At 30.0% G+C, this 16,801-nt stretch overlaps 1 long non-coding RNA gene across 2 annotated transcripts in view; it reads right to left on the bottom strand.

The window, feature by feature from the left end:
• Nucleotides 1–7,262, bottom strand: part of LOC105370301 (uncharacterized) — a 66,794-nt gene extending 59,532 nt beyond the window's left edge. The window contains exon 1 of one of the 2 annotated variants that reach the window (XR_931624.1): nucleotides 7,152–7,262. This is a non-coding gene — a long non-coding RNA (uncharacterized LOC105370301). Of the gene's footprint in view, nucleotides 1–3,340; nucleotides 3,412–7,151 lie in introns of those variants that run through there. The other variant, XR_931623.2, reaches the window with a different exon arrangement.
• Between the last annotated feature and the right edge of the window lie 9,539 nt (nucleotides 7,263–16,801).

Below are 16,801 nucleotides of genomic sequence, written 5' to 3'. Positions count from 1 at the left end.
TGTAAATACATGAAATACTGTGTAACAGATACATTATCCACTTGTCTTTGTTATTGAATAAACAGCTTTCTACTTCCCTGTGAGGGGCTTATTCTTCGTGTAAATCAGCTCTATAAGAATTTGTGATGTTGGCCCTTTTTTTATGACATAGTGAGAAATATATGGTGTTATTCTATCTGTTAAAAATATATACATGAGAACAAGCTTGCTTTTTATACTTCTACATCCTAATCAAAAGTGGAAGATCTATTTTTTCTAATTTTAATAATAATTATTTGCATACATCACTGTCTAATACAATAAAGGATGTTTATGATTCGTTATTAGGTTACTTAAAAAAGATGTGTTTTAAGAGACAGGAAAATATTCAGGACATTTTATTAAAAACCTGATATCGTGATTAATCTAGCAAGCATTTACACTTAATAAACAAGATTTCAATTGCATAAAAAATTATGCCATTTGCAAAAGCTCAATTCCTTATACTGTTGGTGAAAGTGATTTTATTCTATCAAGTACATATAACTTTTAGTTAAAAATTTATCAATAAGCAAGGTGCAGTGGCTTATGCCTATTATCCCAGCAATTTGAGAGGCCGAGGCGGGTGGATAATTTGAGGTCAGGAGTTCAAGACCAACTTGACCAACATGGGAAAACACTGTCTCTACTAAAAATACAAAAAAATAGCCAGGTGTGGTGGTGCACGCTTGTAATCTCAGCTACTTGGGAGTCTGAGGCAAGAGAATCCCTTGAACCTGGGAGGTGGAGGTTGCAGTGAGCCAAGATTGTGCCACTGCACTCTAGCCTAGGTGACTGAGCAAGAGTCTGTCTCAAAAAAAATAAAAATACAAATAAAAAAGTTTATCAATAAAGCTCAGTAAAATTTTGTAATTAAAAAATAAAAAAGTCTGTGCCTACAAGTGCTCACATATAGTGTAATTACTTTTTAGTCAAAGGTTGGCTCTACAATGTAGGATTTTGATTTTAAAATAGTGACACTTTTCATTTTGAGAGAGGAGTTTAACCTTCATTTCACGCTTAATGAAATGGACTTAATTAGCCTTTGTATTTTGTATTAGTAGTTAGGTCATCTGAGACCAATTTTAATGTTTGCATTCATTTATAGCACTAATCCTGCTCCAAGAAGTAAATAATATAATAATTACTTTCTGTCATTTGAAGATAATACTGCTGCTATACATTGTTTATTGAATTGTCTTATTTTTAAATTTTTTATTAAATTATTGTCACCTACAAAATCTTGCTTTAATACATTTTTAGTATTATTATGTATGCTACATGATTAGTAACAAGATAATTCAAATACCTAATCTTCTCTTGTTATTATGGTTTCTAATTTTGTATGTTGTTATTAAACATTAAATATTCATGAGTTTGTTTTATTCTTTAGTTGTCACCAATGATGTAGTATGATGCTGGGGGCTAGTCTTTCTCGTGAATGTTGTTATTAGTCAAGAAATGCAATAAAATGCTCCTTGACGAATAAACTATATGATATATCGCATATTGTCTATTCTTTTAGTCATTCTACAGGAAGTCTGTCAAATGTTTCAAGCAATATTTTTCATTAAACATGAAGTCAAATTCATGAATGAATTTATATATAAGACAGTTAATCTAGCTTTGGTAAAGATTAACCTGGATTAAATATGTTTTTAGGACTTTTAAACACACTTATTCAGTTAGCATCTTTGACATCTATTTTTAAGGTATATACTTATAAATCATTTTACCATTAAAGAGCATATAACCTAAAGTTAAGCTTTGGGAAAATATGGACCAGAAAACCAAAAATTTTTGTATGAACCTCTATGTCCTAAAATATATATTAGCATAGATTTCAACTTTAGTGTATATGAACAGCATTCTTTAAGTAACTGTATTGGGAAATAATTTCAAAATGTGTGTAGGAAGGCCTATATCTTAGAAAGCAGTAAATTTTTAAGTATATATTTACTCTATATTACTAATGATACGAATAATAATATTACTAACTCAAAATGTATATCAGGTTAAATATCTACAGACCCAACATTCTGTTTCATTTTTAAAAAATTTTATAATTGAATTATGTAGTACTTTTCACACTATTCCATGCTCTATTTTGAATAGTTTTAATGCCTGAGCTGTATTGACTTCTACTAGCAAGACAGTGATTGTTATTCTAAGGCAACACATCAGTCCTTCTTCAGTAGACTGATGTTAAATGTAGATATGATATTAATATACTTTCTTTGACCAAATAATTCCTGCTGCATCATCTCATGAAGCAAGCTACATAGATTTGTCACAACTAGATAATGCTCAAAATTTGAAGTGATTTTGTTTCACCTAGTCCCATCCACTACATCCCTTCATAGACCTTGGATTGCATCAGAGCCAAGTCTCTACTGAATACATGCAGTTAAGGGTACCACATTAAAATGAAGCAGAGGAGCAGCCTTTGATTTGAATGTATCTAACTTAAGCAAACACAATTTTTCAATAACAAAAATAAAAATATTTTGGCTAGTTTCAATTGACTAATTCTAAATCACCTCTAGTTGTTTCTACATTTTAAACCAAAACATCAGTTTTGTAGTCTAAACCTATGTAGGAGTTAGATGTTTCTTCAGTTCCATTGATAAACCTTAAGAAATACCTGTGAAAATATTTCTCAATATGAATGACAATCTTTTTGCACTGTCTTCATATTATTAATATTTAGATTCACAAATAAAGTATTAAGCAATATTATTACCCTCTACTACAAAGGTTAAAATAAATTATTCAAGAATCCCAAGACATAATAGATAATCTTAGTTAGATTTCCTATTCACATCTATGGGAACTGTGAATCATTACTGAAAAGAAAAAAAAAAAAAAAAAAGAAAGTTTTCCAAAATGTTGAGAAAACATGGAGGAAGTATTTTTAATTTTGTGATGAATCAGAAATACATTCAACTTTTAATTTTCTCTTATTAAAAGTTAATAGGAAAACATAACTTTTCTTTATGATTTATTAACTGTGTGATATAAGTACTTGGATTTAACACTTTCAATATAAGAAAGCTGAGGGTTAGGGAGATTTAGGTACTTTCCCAAAACTTCATAAATAAAAAAAGGAAAGCATGGTTTAACATAGGACTTATCATTTAGCCAGAGTATCAGTCAAACCATATCAGGTTATGCTGCAGTGCAAACATGCTCAGTATCTCATTGCTATATGTTTATATATATATATATATATATATACACACACACATTATATATATGTATATAATGTGTATATATATGTATATATATAATGTATATATATATATATAAAGTTATTTCTTACCTATGGTATAGGTTCATTGCAGTTTGGATGCAGCCAGCTCCTTGGAACCCAAGACGAAACATTTATTATCTGGAATAAGGTCAACCACTTTTACAAAAGAAAGAAAATTTCTCGAGTTAAATAATAAATCTTAAATGTTTCTGCTTTAAAGAACTCCTAAGAAGCAAGGATGATCAGAGCGTAAGTCTACACAACCTTTTTATAGTACAATTTGAAACTATACCTGGAAATTTAAAGCACATATTATTTTTGATGCCAAAACTGCTCTTCTAGAAATCTGTTCCAAAGATATCCCCACAACTACTCAAACTTCATTGGCCAAAGCAAATCACATAGCCATCCCACCTCCACAGTGGCAGAGAATGCAATGCAAATTGCACTTGCCTCAGAAAAGGAGTGAGGTGTATTTCCAACTCACTCACCGTGTTTGAGCATATATGCATATTTATATGTGAATATGTGGATACACAATACTTGTATACATTTCTATAAATATTACTCTGTGTATTCAAAATAAAAAATTATATTAAAGTAAATTTACTGTTAAGTATTCTGAAATTTGTAACTGTAATAGCCATGTGTGCTATTAGCAAGTTTTTACCTAAATTATATATACATATATATACATATACATGGTAGTGTATATTATATATACACTATATATTTATTGTTTTATAGTGTGTTTTTAAAACATACTTATTGTTTTATATTTATATGGTTAATTTACTTTGTTTAGGGGTTTTCTTCTTTTTTTTTGCCCTACAGATATGTTAATAAATTTTATCTGTCCAATATCATAGTCCTTCCATTGCAGCTCCTCGGATTTCATTATTATTAAAATATCTTCTTCCATTACAATATTATTAATATGAGTTCCTGTATATTTTTATATTTTAAATGTATCATTAATTTTATGTCATTGATTCATGAAGAAGTTATTGAAATAATGAATAGATATCTAGTCTTATTTATTTTTCTAAAGGATGACTTGTAAAACACTTTTCTGAATCATCAATTCTCCCATGTTATTTTGAAATGAAACATTTAGTGTAGTTTAGGTTCCCATGGGTATTCTGTATTTTAAGCTCTGCCTTATTGTTATAAGTATTTATGGCTTTAGAAGCATTAGCTTAAGCATCCTGTCAGTAGAAGGTATTTCAATTTCCAGTAAAGTTAGGTCTTCGTATTACCATTTATTTTCAAAACTATTATTTTCCAGCTATTCTCTTATGTTTATTTTTTCACAAAAACTTCAGAAGCATAATGCTTATTTCAGAAACTTAAGATATATTTTGTTAGTTGTATTGTTTAGGTTAAAGTAGATTTATTTATGGTAAATGTTTTTCTTAACATGTTGAATTTAGTCTTGTTTTGGATTCATACTACTGTAGATTTCTTCACTGTCTATGCTGGGGAGCATTTAAATAGCCACTAAGTTATATATTTATTCAAATTATAATAGAATTTATCCAAGAAGCACTCTGAGCTTAGGGCAATTTGAAGGAATAAGCTTGGAAGAGGCATTCTTTAAAACATCCCAGATATTCAACACAAAGCCACAGACAGCCCACTGCTATCTGTAATGACATTATGGGTACGTACTTATCCCACGCTGAAGGGAAATCCTATCCAGATCAAAGAATAAAGTCTCAGAGCACTTGTGTAAATGATTAGCCACGTTATTAAAGTGGTGTACAAACAAGGTATAAATGTAAACAAAGCCTCCAAGTACAAAAAGACAGATGGATTCCACACAGAGTGCTTTGGAAGCTTCCCACACAGCAGCCTTCGGTTAGGGCAACAAAGGCCATCTGACAGAAAAGAAAGGAGAAAGGGAGGAAGGGGAAAGGATAATCTCATGTCTATCAATTTGTGTTTTGAAGAATGAAGTTAACTAAATTTGTATGTGTTGGTAAGATGCCTAAATAGGAGTCAAATTAACAAAATGACTCTCAGTTGATTCTAAATCAATTATTTGGAGCAACAAATTGAACAAAAAGACTAGAAAATTAAGCATATAAAAGACTTTTCAAAAATATTCAAAACAATATTTTAGGAAGATTCAGTGTTGGCTTAGGCGATGGGGGTAAATTTTACTTTTTATTCTAATTTTATTGTAAAATATGTTTCCCTCATAAACTTAAGATGCCATTGATTTTTAAAGTTACCATCATCTTACAGACTTGAAGAAGTAAAATCAGCCAATTAATCTGTTATAAAAAGTTTCTTATCACATTCACTGTAAGCATCTGTTATTAGGGATATTGAAAGATTTTTTAAAACAATGTTAAAATTAAATAAATATAAGAATCATAAAAACAATTTCTTTTTAGCATTAAGTTTCTGAAAATTGAATGCATTATTTTATTTCAAATATTTGCTGTTTTTAACCTGCAAATCAATAATTTATCCATTATTAGAGCTAGTACAAAGTTTTTATCCCTTCTTGTTCATATATATAAGTAATCTCAGAATTCTATAGCTACTATATTGTGTAGAGAAACCTTTTACATTCCAATTTTTAAAATTTATTATTACCATTTGAAAAGTAAATTTATAATGTGAGTATTAAATTATTGTCTATGCCTGGCTTTTATCCTTTGACCAACTGTATGTTTTCCTCAACTACATGAAAATGTTACAGCTTTTTTGTGAATTAATAATTCCAATGAATACTCATTCACCATACATTGCAACTAGGCATATTATTTACAAGTCAATAGTATAGGATACAATGCTTTGAAATATCAATAGCTAATATCATTGCATATTTTTTAAAATATAGAAACACAACTCTGTCAGAATGAAATCTGTAGAAGAACATTACATTGTCTAAGCATTTGTTTTAAAAATTTCTTTAAGTTGCATTGTTTCTCAGTCATATTAAATAGATTCTCATTTGTTGAAAAATGTTTCCTATATTTGTCTATTTAATTTACTGAACTCAAGGGCATGGATAAAAGGAAATGAAAACTCTCTCTGTGAGACTTTATCTATAACCTTGTATAATCAGGATATATGTCCAAATGTTCTTTCCGAGTTTCAACTTCAAATCACAGATGTAAAAAATATTGATTATACCTCATTATTTTTAATGGAGAAAAGTCTGACAGAGAATGTGTTTCTGTCAGTAACTCTTGGCTCTTCCAAGGTATGGTAAATTGATTTTTGATATCAAATTTAATTAAATGTCAAATACAAATTATTTATTAATTCTTAAATCATTAACATAGAAAAGAATTTATAATGTAAAACAATGTTAGTTAATAAAATATAAAAGTTAAAAATAAAGTAGCATTCTAGATATTCTAATTATTTATTAATATTTATATCATTTCAATATGAATTTTAAAATTTAGCATACAATTCTTTTTTCACCTCAACAACTCTTGATTTCCCAGGAAATTTGAAATAATGAATTTAACGAAGTCCAGATCTTCTCCATGTAATGAGGAGCAATCAGGAAATTATGTGAAGATAAATATACTTGATTTATCCTGATTCCTCCTTATGATAATATGATTTCTAACACTTGAAAATGAATGGCATTCATCTAAAATTCCCATTCCTGTCTAATTTGAAGTACAATAACAGACTGAATTTTTCTCTTCATTTCATTAGAGGATGGAGGCAGCTCTCTCCATGTCTGTGGTTCGAGTCACATTGCTACCTGTGAGCAGAGGTGACCTCCTGTTGCTGTTAAGATTCATGCTACCTCCTGGGTAGTATCATATGTAATAGTATCACTTTTTAAACATTTTGGTCAAATAAATTTTTACATAAAGTACAAAAAAGAAGAGATTCATGCTACCTCATCTCATCTCCCCTGCTTGTCCTCACAGCCCTGCCCTTGAGCCTCTCATATTTCCTTCTCTCTAGAACGTGGTCTTGTCAGTGTGGCTCTGTCTCTTTCTCTTGATTGCAGCACCTTGCAAAAGAAAAAAAAAATATTTCTGGATACTAAATCTGACTTGTAACACAACTTGATTAAATTCCGTTATATAATTATTTGGGAACGTGGGGAACATTTTTTTTCTATTTTTCTTATTTTAATGTAGATGATTTTCCTCCCCTTAAATAGTCCTGGTCTTTTGAATCATCCCATTTATCACTCCACAGAGATAGAGTGTTTTACGTGAGAAGTAGGTGGCAGCCACTTACTGATTTCTGGATGGGTTTTTATATTTTCTATCAAAATTCCTGAGCATGGAAGGGTAGATTTCTTTCTAATGCTTCCCTACTTTCTTGACACACTTGCCATAAACTTTAGGTTTGTGCAAAGTAATAATCTCAGTAAGCGAGTGTACTGTGCATACTTAAGGTTTCATCCTGTTGCACTGTTTTATAATCTAAACTGAGCAGTAAGGCAGGAATTATTAGAAAGCATGCTGTGCCTCACCTATGGAAACCATATCCTCCATGCCACTTTCCCCAGAAATAAAGCTAACAGTTTTATCTTCAGTTTATTAATTCTGTTGTTCTATTCACTTGCTCAGAACTCAAGAAAGAAGAAAAGTTTAGTTATCCTAACTATTAAAGTCACTCCTCGGAACACTCTTAATGGTTTAGCCTCTCTCTCATTTGATTATCTTCCTTGGGACAAATTCAGCCCTACTTGAAAACAATTGTTCCCTGGGATAATTGAGCAACAAAATATTGTTGAAAAAAAAGTAACACAAATCTGCTGACTTGTATTACTTTAAATTTGTTACCACAAATCTCAATGAACACCCAATATTGCCACCTATATTACCGCATTTAGTTATATTTCTGCTTTGCCATTTCATGAAATGTCAATTTCACAACTATCACTTCGTTAGTGAAACTGTCCATGTGCTATTCCTCTCCCTTCCTTTCAACATACTATTTTGGCTTATTCTTCATCGAGAAAAGAGAAGCAGAACAACATATTTATGCCTCCAATTGAACAAACATTTGCAGGGACATGCTGCTACTCTTTTCTTCTTCTGATTGTACTACATGAGCTGAATTGGCTCCTCTCAAAGTCAACCCCTGCCCTACTGTAAATTTCATATCCTGTCTCTTCAAAGAAGCTTTTTCTAATAGCCATCTCCTTTGTCTTTTACAAGATGAATTGTATTTTAGTGTATATATAGGTAATTCACATCAGCATACAAACATACTCAATTTCTCTGATAATATATTAACTCATCTACCTATTAAATATCCTCCTTTGGCATATACTTCACTGTAGCAGCTGATTAGTATATTTTCTCCTGAGTTTCTTACAATTGTTTTCTGTTTATACTTGTGTACATCATATCTTTTTCATCCCACTTAAATCAGGTGAAGTGTCTCAAAAATGACTTACTAAAGCCACTAATTGCTGTGTTGAGAAACCATTTACCTAGTTTCATCTTATTCACCCTCTGAACAAACATGTAAAGGCTTGCCTTCTCTAGATATTTCATTTTATTGACTTTCTTTACATTATATTCTAATCATTTCTCATTCAGCCCACCAGCCATTCATACACATGTTCTTTGAAAGCCATTGCTCCAACTGGAGACTTTATTTTGAGAGAATAGGGTTGTGTACAAGGCTAACTTCTCTCATCTACCTATAATGATAATCTGGTAATCTATTCTAGTCCACGCCTTTAAATGCCATTCAGACATTGAACTCTTCTAAGTTACACCTCCAAATCAAGTTTCTTTCCTATATTTTGAAAAGCTTTTTCAAGTTAGCATGTTAAAAACTAAAATTCTTGTTTAATTTTCTCAAAGCTTCCCCTATTATAAGAACGGGGGTCATATCCAGCCTCATAGCAATAGAAGGCATCATCATCTATTATATAATTCCAAATCCCAAAATTGAGATGCTTTTATTTCCCTTATGCTTAATATCCAAGTCTAAAGCTGAATCTCCTAAGTATCTCAACATTCAGTAAATTCAGTTTGATTTATATTCACTAGTATGACCATGGTGAAAATCATCACATAACAGTCTACCCAAGTGCAGGATTGCTGAAAGTGCATTATTCACAGTCTTGAGCGTGCTTGACTTCCATACAAGGTGAAATTATCATTGTCCATTCAACCAAGTGGCATATAAAGATAATCTGATAGCAGAGTTATGAAAGGCCCTAAGAAACTAATTAAAAATTTCTGAATTATAGAAAGAGTACTAACCATTTAAAATAAATGCAAAAAACAAGAAAACAAAATCAATAAACAAATATACTCTATCAATTAGGAAAAGAGAAAAGCAAAACCTTAACTCTTGGGTCAAAGAGAAAAGTACCAACTGATATTAAATTATTAGTTTTGAAAAAGAACAGAGTGAATTGAAAAACATCATCAAAACTAATGAGATAACTAGGAAACATTAATCAGCAAAAAATTTGTACTCTTGAAGATGTATTTTAAGATGTGGGGTAATTAAGTAAATGATTAAGCATACATTGTAAGAGTTTCAGAAAGAAAGTATATATAAAATATATCAAAGGAAGCCTGAAAAAAAGAAAGATGAAAAGTTAGTAAATATTAAATTAAAAATTGATGAAATAGAAAGCAAGTTAATCCATAGAACTAAGAAATACGTTATAAATACATGTATTTGCTGGTTCTTTAATAAACACATTTTTAAAACTACACAATTAGACCATTAGCTAACATAGTCAAAAATGAAATATAAAATTTAAATATAAAAACTTCTGTTATTTTATAAAATAGAAAAATGTAATAACCAAAGGCAACACATAAGCTGATGAAATTATAAATAAAGTTCAAAGCAGAATGTAACAATTTTTTTTTTAATTCTGTGGAATTGGATGAAGTTAGTATTCTATGAAAAAAAAACTACCAAAGTTTTTTTACAAAACATAGAAAATATGAGAAAACTAATTATTATTAATAATAAATTGGTTTTTAAAAGAATTCATATACCTACAGAAAACTCTTATTTAAAAAACATTTAATAGATAAATTATAATTAAAAATTAGAGAAAAAAGTTAAAGTATAGAATATTATTTTGAGAGCATGAAAAAAAGAAATCTACCATAATTTTTGTAAATTAGTCAACACTGATAATGAAACTGGAAAAAAAAGCCCTGAAATAAAAATTAAATATTAATCATACTTTAAAAATTACTTATGAGTATATCAAATAACAATAATTTGTTTGAAATCAAACAAGAGTTAAAATTTATTTAAAAAATTAAATAAATGGGAAAACACAGAAACATTCTGAAAATAACATAGAGGGGTGGCTACCTATTTTAGCATTTATGAGATACAGTAACAAACACAGTGACATAATGATTTTGAAAAGACAAACATTAAGACTAGAAAATGGAAAAGCAAGCATACTTGTATCAAAATATCATACGTATCTCATAAGTATGTAAACTATTATAAATTTATAAAATTTTAAAGTAAAGAAATTAAAAACCAAATGGGCAAGGATCAAATATAAAAGAGGATTTATTAGGTCATAAAAATAACAGCTCTTATCAGTAAAAGGAAGATAAAGTTGGATCTATCAACGCTTAGTAAACTAGAAATTGTCTTAATGAAATAAATAATAGCTTTTTAAAAAGACTAATACCCTACTTAATGTTCAAATATTGACTGACTTCTCTGAAACTGAAATTGAAGTGATCATGCCCCTTCAAAGAATTTCTATTCAACAATGTAATAAGGCATTTAAAGCTAATTAAAGTATTAAGATTAGAGAGAAAGAAATAAAACAGCATTATGCTCATAAGATTATGCACTTAGAAAATGTAAAATAATAGATACAAAAATAAATTCATTTAATAAGTGAGGTTAGCAATTAATGAGTGAAATTTACCATTAAAACTTCTGCTTGTATAAGTTTAATATATATAAATTAATTTTAATTCTCTATATCAGCAAAAAATATTTAGAAAACAAAATTTTTCAACAGGTGTTATTCATACTAGCTCCAAAAAATATTATATACATGGGAATGAAGCTAAATAAAGAAGTACAAATCTGCTAAATATCATATTATTGAAAAAAATTTCAAAAAAATTAAATGAAAATAAAAGACTACATTGATTGCATTGGTAGAATGCAAATTTAATTAAGAAATCACATTACCAAATATCAATACTTATCAGAATGCACCAGAAATTAAAAACACATATTGGCATAAAAATAACCAAATCAATAAATGTAGCAAATTAATTAGAGAATAAAGAGTCCAGGTAAAGATTTAACTGTATTAAACTTTTAATGAACATCAAAGTTGATACTCTAGGGCTGTGAAGGAAAGACAACTATTTTAAATTAAAGAATAAGATCTAATATTTGATATCACAACAGGGTGACTATCATCATCAATAATTTGTCGCACATTTTGGAATAACTTTGGAATTAAAAGAATGTTTATAACTCAAAGAAATTATGAATGCTTGAGGTGATGGATATACCATTTACTCCAATGTGATTATTTCACATATTTCTGTATCAAAATATCTCATGCAATCGATAAATATATACACCTACTATGTACCTGTAAAAATTAAAAATTAAAATAAAATAAATGCTGCCAAGTCAATTAAATGCACATAGGTAAGAGAGAGGGTTAGGGTGAGAGATAAAGAAGAAGAAGAGAGTGTGAGAAATGATAGAATGTGAGGAAAAAGAAGTGAGAAAAGAAAAGCAAAAAATTGGACCCCATTAAATCATACAAAAATATTCCATGTGGAATATAGTTTTAAATGTTAAAGGAAAAACAATACATTTCTAGGAGACAGGAGATATAAACATGCCATGATATACATTTAATGAGAACAACTCTCTCTTAATTGGAAACTACTACTACTGACCTTATAGGACAGTGTTGATATTAAATTCGTGACCATAAATTCTCACAAATATTTCTTTAAAAAATGATGAAGCATGTCACAGGCTGGGAGATATTTGTATACCTTTAACCAAAAAAAAAAAAAAAAAAAAAAAAACAAAAAACTCACATTTAAACTATGTAAAACATCCCACAAATCAAGAAGATAAAAAAGGAGAAAAATCTATTAAAAAAAAAAGGGCAAATACTTGAACAGGTCTTCATTAATGGAGAATAGCCAAGTGACCAACAAACATATAAAAGTTAATTAATCTAATCAGTCCTTAAAGTATTTGTCAAATGTTGCCCAATCCATACATCCAAATAGCTAAACTTAAAAACTGACAATATCAAGTGTTGAGAATATAGATCAACATGAATTATTATATACTGCCTTTAGGGACATAAAGTGATATACGTAGAGATATAAACACTTTGAGAGAGTATTTCGTAGCATGTACTAAAGGTTAAATTAATATATACCATAACTTACACCAAAGCAGTTCTACTCTGAGGAATATACCAAGGAGAAATGCAAACACATCACAATGGCCAAAAATACAAAAGTAAATAAAAATGTCAAACAAAAAATTCATTCATTATTTATAGTTATAAACAAGTTGAAAATAACTCAAATGCCCACCAGCAGTAAAATGGCTAAATATAATTTAGTGTAGAAATGTAAAGAAATAGTATATACTAAAGATTTTTTACAAATCTAATTCTGAATGAAATAGAAATAAATTAATGTATATGACATATATTAATTTATATAAAGTTCAAAATAAACCAAAGTTAGTTTACAATGATATAAGTCAGGACAATGGTTATGTTTGAGGAGGAGGAAGGTCAAGGAGTAAGTTGCAAAGAGAGGTTCAGGGCTATCAGTGATATTCCCTTTCTTGACATGTCATATTTTGACATGCGTGAAAAAACTATGTAAAAAATTAAGAAAACTGCACTCAAAAATTTTGTCTTATTTTTGCATTAATGATATATTTCAATATAGAGATTTTTTAAAAATTAGAACTACCATTTGAATTATATGCCAGACTAAATTTGGGATGAATTAAAATATATGTAAAATAATAAAATCACTAAAAACAAAAGGCAGAAATTATAATCTTATTTTGACTGAGGAAACATTTATGTAATGTATGACATATACATGACCCAATACCTAGGATTCATAAATAATTAAAACTGCAGAAGTGGTAAACTTGTGGGTTGGATAGACTTAAGACATGTGGGAAAGGGACACACACTCTCCACTCTATGCACTTTTATCTTTGTTAAAATACATACCATGATGATGAATTGAATACTACTATTAATAATAATAATAATTTAAAATACCGATTATTTTAAATTTTCTCAATAAAATTAGGTGGATTAATAATCACTACATGAACATAAAATAAACCAAAAAAGCAAACTTGAAAATCACTAAAGTAATATTGCATACCATTTCTTTGTTTTATTGATAGCTAATTCTTTGAAAAATGTATTTGAAGATGTACTAAAGATATGTCTATTGACATTGAATTAACACATTGCTTTGTAGAACACACATGTTGGAAATACTAATGAATCTCAACTAAGTCTTAGTTAAAATCATCTGTCAAGTCAAAGAATACTGAGACAAGATTTTTTCCTAGTAAAAATGACAGCAAAATAAATACGGTGACTGAAGTGAGGCAAATGAAAACATAGATTTTTTTTTATGTATTAGAAATTACTTTTTTGGTTTCATGTTTTCTTCTTTGCACCTGGGGTGCATGCTCCTTTTTGTCATGCCAATCATTTACAGTAGTAGTATTAATAGTAGTATTCAATTCATCAATTGAATAAAAAATCTAAAAAATCTCCCTCGTTTTACGCCTGTAATCCCAGCACTTTTGGAGACCATCCTGGCTAACATGGTGAAACCCCGTCTCTACTAAAAATACAAAAAATTAGCCGGTTGTGGTGGCGGGCGTCTGTAGTCCCAGCTACTCCGGAGGCTAAGGCAGGGGAATGGCATGAACCTGGGAGGCAGAGCTTGCCTTGAACCGAGATGGCACCACTGCACTCCAGCCTGGGCGACAGAGTGAGAGTCCGTCAAAAACAACAACAACAACAACAACAACAACAACAACAAAACTCCTTCGTTTTATCTTTTTATAATCACACACTCACAACATACAAACCCACTCACACACTTGACTCATGACTCATGTCAACCACTGGTCTGTTCTCTGACACTGTAATTTTACCTGTTACAGATCTTACTGTAAATGGAATCATACCTCATGTAACTGAAACCCAGCGCTTCCCTCAATATAATGCTTTAAAAATACATCCAAGTGGTTGGATGTATCAAAAGTTGGCTTGTTTTGATTGCTGAATTATGGCACATTGTCTGAATAGAACTGCCACAAACATTCACAGGTTTTTGTCTGAACAGAATATTTTTTTCCCAGAAACATATGAGTAAGACCGCTTGGTCATATGGTGAGTGAGTGTGTCATCAGTTTTATTCCAAACTGTTTTCCAGAGTGGTTATATTATATTGCATTTTTACCAGGAATACACGCAGGTTCCAGCAGCTCCACAAACTTGTTTGTAGTTGATATTGTCAGCATTTTTATTTTAAACACTAAAATATATATCATAATACTTCACTATGGTTTTAATTTACATTTCCCTAAAGGATAATCAGTTCAAACATCTTTCCACATGCATATTTGTCATCTTTGTTGCCTCCTCAATGGAATGCTAGTTCAAATAGTTTTCCCATTTTTAATAAGATCAGTTCTTTTCTTACTGCTTAGGGTTCTTTACATATATCTGTGTATGTATGAATGTGTATTTACATTCTTTATAAGTTGTAGTTATTAATATATTCAATTGTTAGTTATCTTTTACATTCTCTTAACCATCTTTTGTGGAAACAAAAATTTTAATAATTTGATTTTTTTATTTTACAAATCACACTTCTTCTAAGAATTCTTTGTCTAAACCTAGGTCGCTAAGATTTTCTCCTGCACGTTTCATATGTTAGGCTTTGCATTTATATATGTTGTAATCAGGATTTGCTTCTTTTATATAAAGTTTGAATTTGAGGTATTTAATTTTTTTTGTTTTGTTAGTTTTGGATACATGGGTGTATAATTGTTCCAGAAAACCTCTTGAAAAGACTATTCTTTCTTCATTAAATTGTTTGAGAACTGTTTTGATCATCATTTGGCCATGACTGCATTAATCTATCTTTGGGTTTCACATGCTACTCTGTTGATCTATGTTTCTACCCAATTCACTAATACTGCATTGTTTCAATTTCTGTAACTTTAAGTCAAGTCTTAACATTAAAGTAAATCTTCCCACTTTAAGCCTTTTTAATCAAAATTGCTTTATGTAGTCTAGTTTTTTTTTCTCTCCTTATATGCTTTACACATATATAAAAGTTAGAAACTTAGAATCAGTCTAACATAAATTTTACAAATTTGTTAAAGTTTTATTGAAATCAGTAAACTCATAGGTCAATTTGGATAGAATTCGCATCTTTATGTTCAGTCTGCTAATTCTGGTCATTTTATATCTCCCCATTTATGTAAGACATTTTTTTCTATCATTCGAGTTTTGTAGTTTTACACACAACTGCACATATTTTATCAGACTTATACCCAATAATTTCTGAGTTATTATAAACTTTTATTTTTACTCTCCACTTACTCTTTTCCACTACATAAAAATGTGATTGACTTTGTATCCTAGGACCTTGCAAAAATCATTTTCTATTTTTAAGTGTTTTTTGTTTATTTGTTTGTTTTTATAGATTCCTTGCATTTCTGTATGGAGAATCCTATCGTCTGTGAAAATAGACAGTGTTTTTCTATATGTTCTTAATTTTTATTTTTTTGATTTTTATTTATATATTTATTGTTTCCTGCTTTCTGCTTGCTTTAACTTGATTTTTCCATGCTTTTTCTAATTTTCAAAAGTGGAAGTTTCCATTGTTGATTTGAAACCTCTCTGTTTTTCTAATATAAGCATTTAATGCTATAAGTTTTCCTGCATGCACTGTATTAGCTGAATCCATTGTATTTTGATACGTTGTATTTTCTTTCTATTTTGTTTAAAATTTTTTTTAGTTTTTATTAAAACATTTTCTTTGATTCATGAATTACATAGAAGTGTGTAATTTAATAGTGAAGATTATCGATTTCTCTGTGAATCTCTGTTAGGGAATTATAGCTTAATATTTTTAAACCATAGTTTAATATTTTTAAACCTGTAGGCAGGTCACATCAATGAGTGTTCAGCTCTTAGAGCAGAGGAGACCCCTAGTGGGTAGCTCCTTTCCACAGGCAGGTCATCCCAAGGAGTGTTGGGGAGTCTGGCTGAGTCTGGGGTTTTTACATTCTCAGAATGGAGAAAGTGCATGCTGTTAGTCCTTGGGTGGTCACAGGCAGCCCTGGAGAAAGCACCATCAGATCAGCCAAATGATTATCAATGAAGATCTCACTGCAGGCCACATACTTCACCTGTAACAGGCAGCCCGGCCCTCAGGCTTCAGGCTGTCCCTGGCCTGAATGTGGGCTTTCACTGGGGACCTCCCCCTTCCTGCCTAGGAACCTGTCTGC

The sequence above is a fragment of the Homo sapiens genome, chromosome 13, assembly GCF_000001405.40.
Source record: "Homo sapiens chromosome 13, GRCh38.p14 Primary Assembly".
Lineage (NCBI taxonomy): Eukaryota > Metazoa > Chordata > Mammalia > Primates > Hominidae > Homo > Homo sapiens.
This window is presented reverse-complemented; position numbering and strand designations above follow the sequence as displayed.